The 6106-nt window shown below is 38.2% G+C and overlaps 1 annotated feature.

The window, feature by feature from the left end:
- Window positions 1299–2498: an enhancer, noted in NCBI's record as "CDK7 strongly-dependent group 2 enhancer chr20:9958069-9959268 (GRCh37/hg19 assembly coordinates)". NCBI's record gives its function as "activates an origin of replication core promoter dependent on BRD2, BRD4, P300/CBP, MED14 and CDK7 cofactors, with strong dependence on CDK7, by STARR-seq in HCT116 cells {active_cell/tissue: HCT116}" and the evidence as "EXISTENCE:reporter gene assay evidence [ECO:0000049][PMID:35650434]".

Genomic DNA, 6106 nt, shown 5'->3' with positions numbered 1-6106 from the left:
ATTTTTGTTGCTCCTTATTTCTCACTATACTGTACAATGCAACTTATTTTTCTTTGTTTGCAACTCTTCAAGGGGTAGCAATAATTGAAGATACTCAATTAATTAGTTTGAAGAGGCCAGTATCTTCTTGTGTGACCACTGGAATCAGAAACAATTTATCTCCACAAATCTGTCTGAAAATGCATGTCCAATATGGTAAAATATTCTCCATTTTGTTGATCATTTGTGTCAAATTTTAATCCCAAGGTGACTTCCTTTTCACAGCTGGACATCTTTCTAAACCATGAAGACTGATTTGACTAAACTAACACTAGGATGATAAATCCCATCACAGATAAAAAAGAAAAAAATCCATTCTGCATGCCTAAAGCAATACTTTAAAGAGACTTTGCTATTTATTAACTGTTCATATTGCTGCTTTTTTGTTTAGCATAGCTAATGCTCCTTTTGAAAACTATTTTGAATTTTATGGAAGTTTATTGCAAATTATCTTTTTATTTTATAAACTGTATTGGTCCGTTCTCATGCTGCTATGAAGACATACCTGAGACTGGGTAATTCATAAAGAAAAGAGGTTTAATTGACTCACAGTTCCACATGGATAGGGAGGCCTCAGGAAACTTACAATCATGGCGGAAGGGGAAGCAAACATGTTCTCCCTCACATGGTGGCAGGAGAGAGAAATGTAGAGTGAAAGGGGAAAATGCCTCTTATAAAACCACCAGATCTTGTGAGAACTCACTCACTATCACCAGAACAGCATGAGGGTATTGCCCCCATGATCTAATCACTTCCCATGTGGTCTCTCCCCCAACATGTGGGGATTACAACTAGGATTACAGTTCAAAATGAGATTTGATGGGGACACAGAGCCAGATCATATAACAAACTTCAAGAACTATTCCCAAATATTTCTCATTTCTTTTCCAAAAGATAACTGTGGAATAATTCTACCAAATGTTACAGAAATCAATGTATTCTGAGGAGTTTCTGGACATCCTCTATTTTTAAAGACCCCTGTTCCAGTGGGTATCTGTATCTCCTCTGCATTTGGATGTCTTTTCGGATCAGCTGAGCAATATCAGAGATCTATTGAATCCTTTCAACCTTCATATAAAAATGGCACGTTGGCCATAGCTTTGGCCTAGAACACAAAAATTGAGCACTTCAGTTCAACAAGACAATGATAAGTGGTGGAGCTCAGACAAGAGAGACAAAGAAATGACACTGCCATCTTTTGGAGAATTCAGAAGTTAGGGGTATGTTTTTGTCTTGTGCTCTTTCTGGCAAATATTTTCCCCTTATGCGTCATCTTGTCTTTTGCTAGGCATTACACATAGCAACAGCACCACCTATTGCCTATTCTGTTGGTTTGCTGTCACGAGGATTTTCCTAACGACTCATATACAGATACAGAGGATGCAGCTCACAGTTTCACTTTAATCGCCCTACCTTTGTTATCTTAATGAGCATCTTTATTGTACAGCAGTTTTATGGTTAGCTCAAAAGCTCACCACTATTAAAAAGATATTTTAAAATAAACCATTTCTTAGCTCCTAAACTCTCTCTTCTTCAAAATAACAAATTGTGTCAGTAGAGGGTGAATAAGTGATTCATCTTAGGAGGGATCTAAAGTTAACTTTAATAACACAAGCTAACTAACTAACCTAATTCTGTTTTATTTCCTTAGCCTCAAGTATTGTTTCTGCTTTCAGGAATAGACATGCTAGAGTTATGAGTTGATGTCAACTTCTTTTTTTAAACGCAACTACTCTTTTTTAAGTACAACTACAAGTTGTACTTGGTATTTGTGTACAATAGAATCTTGGGAGAACTTTATGAATATGTTATTTATTTAAAGATCCTTATTGGAGAAAGCATGGAAATTCTATTTTATTCCTACTTTTGCAGAATTGTGAAATAGACTGGATGAAATATGAGTCAAGATTGCTTTGAAGTTGGGTGTAATGATCTTCAGACCCAGAATGACTTCTAAAGAAATAATTAAAGTGAGCACTAATAGTCTTACCTACAGCTTCCTGATGTTGGGCCACATAAAAGCAATGACTCACACACAATAAGGGATGTGAAATGTTTGAAAAACAAGGGAAGGGAAGATGGAATTAGTACAGAGACTATCAAATCACAGCACAGGAAGTGCAGGCTCAAAGCAGAGCCTAGGACAGGGATCCCTCTGTGTGTGTGATGTACCGAGAAAGCACTCTTCAGGGTAAACCCTCAAGGGGATTAAAAGGGATGAGAAAGGATTGCAAGGATGTGGTCTTAGGTAAGGTCTAGCCTCAGGCAGATCCCATAGGGAGAGCTCTAAAACATAAGCCGTATCACAGATTTATGTCCCTATATCACTCAGTCACTGGCTGTTTGTCCATGGTTACACAGAGGGAAGACAAAACTTTCCTGGCAAGACACCCCTTCTGCACTGAAAGTAGTCCTCTGGGGAAAGAGTGGCTGGAAGCCATTTGGCATCTAACCTTCACAGCAACTGGGTGATGGGCATATGGAATGCCTAGGAACTGAAGGTAGACTTCAGACAAGAGTGCGAGTGGAAAGAACCCAGGCTGTTGCTGATGAGCTACACGAAGGCATTAAAAGCAAAAGACAAGGAAAGGACTGATGGGAGACACAACTGCTTTTTATTCTTAGCTAACACGTGGACAAAGCAGGGGTTAGGGGGACTGACCCCCTGTACAGTCTAAAATCTGTGTATAACTTTAGACTCCCTCAAAACTTAACTAGTAATAGCCTACTGTTGATTAGAAGCCTTACTAATAACATAAACTGTTGATTAACACATATTTTGTATGTTATGTGTATTATCTACTGTAGCCTTATAATAAAGTAAGCTAGAGAAAGGAAAATGTTATTAAGAAAATCCTACAGAAGATAAAATATATTTACTTTCCATCAGGTGGTACTGGGTCATTATAAAGGTCTTCAGTCTCATCATCTTCACATTGAATAGGCTGAAGAGGAGGAGGAAGATGAGAAATAGGTCTTGCTCTCTCAGGGGTGGCAGAGGAGGAAGAGATGAAGGAGATGAAAGGGGAAACAGGAGAGGCAGGCACACTCAGTGTAACTTTCATTGAAAACTTGTATATAAGTGGGCCTGCACAGTTCAAATCCATGCTGTTCAAGAGTCAGCTGTGTATTATCAGTCAATTACGTTTAAAATAAAACTTTGAAGCTAGACATATAATTCATTGCAAGCTTATTTCTAATTTAACCAGACTAGTTAGAGTTATAACCCCTCACCCCAGAGATTAATTAGAATTTTTTCCTGCCAGAGGATCATGAGCAGGTGCCTCAACCATTTATTTTGTAGATAGCTCTGAACCAAATTTAATCCTAGGCTAGGAAGAAAGACAACATAGAAGAATGACCCTTGTGTCTAGAATCACATAACTTACTTCAGCCTTGGCTAGCTCAATTTAAAATGGATGTAAGAAACTGTATTAATCAGTGTCCCAACATAAACCAAAGGGAATTCTCACAATAGGATAATTCCAAGAAGTTTAACAAAGGGGCTGTTTACAAAAGTTTGGGTATAGGGGAACCACAATAGAGGGTAAAGTTGGTTGCAGCCACAATGATGAAGGAAACGAGTGGTTCCCAGAACACAGAAGGAGAGACTCCTGTAGAGTTTGCTGCCTTGCAAGGAATGGTGACTTTTAGCAGAGGGACAGAGCTAGCCCAGGATAATCTGTATCTTCCCTCCCTCCAATTTTTTGGGGCTCCCTATTGGCCCAGAGCAAACAAACAAAGTCAGAGGACACAGCAGTTCCACAAATGTAGCCAGCATAGGTCTGACTTCCGGGGAGGAGAGCAGGATGAGAAAGGAAGAGAGAGGATCTTTATCTTAAGGGGCAAATGGAAGATGTCAGGCACAATTACTGAGGTGTCACAAGGTCCAAACTTCAATCATGGGCATCAAAGCATTTTGTAATCCACAGATGGCTATTGATACATGGGATAGTGGTTACTTGGTTGTTGTTTATTTGTATTCTTGCCAAGCCCCTTCTGACTTAGGAAGCAGTTTTTTAATAGATAGGAGATTCTGTGGAATTAAAAAGAATAAGAATTTGTCATCAACACTTGAGAGAGTTGGCTTGGACATCTTTAGAACTTTCCTCAATAATGAGCCATGTTTTTCCAACTTTTTCAGTATCTATTGATTCTTTGTTTTCAAAACTGAGCAAATTAGTGTAGAAAACAGGCCTTTATCTCCAGAGTTTAGGAGATTACATTTTTAAATTTTATATTTATAATCTATTTGCAATCATAATGTCCATAGAGATTTCATCTTAGTTTCATGTTTAAATGCATTTGAGATTTACTCTCATTTTATTCAACATTTCTTTTCCTGAGTTCTTCATTTTTTTTCAACTCCAAATTGACTGGACTTGATCCTCAGGAATTTCTTTTTTTCCAAAATGAATTCTTAGGCATGACAGGTTGTATACTTGAAAGGTTTGTTTTATTTTTACGTTTGAAGGGAAATTTAGGGGGTATAAAATTCTTGGGTCACAGTTTTTTCTTCTCAGTAGTTTATAAATATTACTCTAATCTTCTGGTACTTATTATTTCTGGAGGGAGACAGAAGCTAACTTTTTCCCCATGTATGTCACTTACTTTTTCTGTCTATGATTCCCATATGATTTTTTATCCTCAAACCTCTGTAATTTCAGCAGGATATATGTTGGTGTCTGTATTATTTCATTTTCATGCTGCTAATAAAGACATGCCTGAGACTGGATAATTTATAAAGGAATGAGGTTTAATGGACTCACAGTTCCACATGGCTGGGGAGGACTCACAATCACAGAGGAAGGCAAAGGAGAAGAAAAGGCACATCTTACATGGTGGCAGCAACAGAGCTTGTGCAGGGGAACTCCATTTGTAAAATCATCAGATCTTGTAAAACTTACGCACTACCGTGAGAACAGTATGGGGGACCTGCCCCTGTGATTCAATTATCTTCACCTGCCCCACACTTGACATGTGGGGATTTTTACAATTCAAGGTGAGATTTGGGTTGGGACATAGCTAAACCATATCAGTGCCCATTAGAGGCAGACTGATGCCCCCTCTCCCCAAAGATAGCCACATCTTAATCCCTAAAACTTCTGCATATGTAACCTTACATGGAAAAGCGACTTAGTAGATACAATTAAGGATTTTGAAATAGTGAGATTGTCTTAGATTAATCTAGGATGTGTAATCACAGTGTCCTTACAAAAACAAACAAACAAACAAACAAACAAACACCAGAAGGGGACATGAGGATGAGAGCAGGGTTAAGGAGAAATTTGAAGATGCTACACTGCTGGCTTTGAAGATGAAGGGGCCCGAGGCAAACAATACAGGTAGCCCCTAGAGGCCAGAAAAGGCAAGGAAATTATTCGCCCCTGGAGCCTCCAGAAGAAGCCCTGCTGCCTCCTTGATTTTAGCCCAGTGAAAGCCATTTTGGGTGTCCAACATCCAGAACTACAAGATAATTAACTTGTATTGTTTTAAACTGTTAAGTTTGTAATAATTTATCACAGCAGCAATAGGAAACCAACAGAGTCCACCAAAACATAGCTCCCTATAGTTCCCTTTGTATGTCTTCTCTGTCAATTCCTTTATAATTGTTTTCATTGCTCTTTTCCATTTTGTTTTGTGTGATTTTTTTCAAGCCTGTCCATCATGATTTTGATTACACTTTCCACAGTGATGTTTCAATACCTGTTATTACTAGTGGGCCCTTTATCTCAGGAATGCTTTTATATTTTCATTCTGTTTTTTTCCTTAGGCTCTGCAAGATGATTTTTCATCTACTTTGTCTTACAAAGTTGTTGTTTGAACTCTTATCTTATGTTTGGGGGGTGTTTGATGACCCCCCCCAAAAGGGGTGATGTTTGTTCCTTTTTCTTTCTTTCTTTTGGAGTCATCATGGTGCATGTAATTTCTTTGAAAATATGGGGACCTATAAGTTTCTCTAGGACTCCTCTTGTTATACACCACATTTTCTTCATCTACCTTTTACTTACATTATATCCTTCCCTTATTTTTATTTAGTGGTGTCTATCAACAAGTCTCAAACTGG

Source organism: Homo sapiens, chromosome 20 (assembly GCF_000001405.40).
Source record: "Homo sapiens chromosome 20, GRCh38.p14 Primary Assembly".
Classification (NCBI taxonomy): domain Eukaryota; kingdom Metazoa; phylum Chordata; class Mammalia; order Primates; family Hominidae; genus Homo; species Homo sapiens.
The sequence above is the reverse complement of the archived record's forward strand: the minus strand, read 5'-3'. Positions and strand labels throughout refer to the sequence as shown.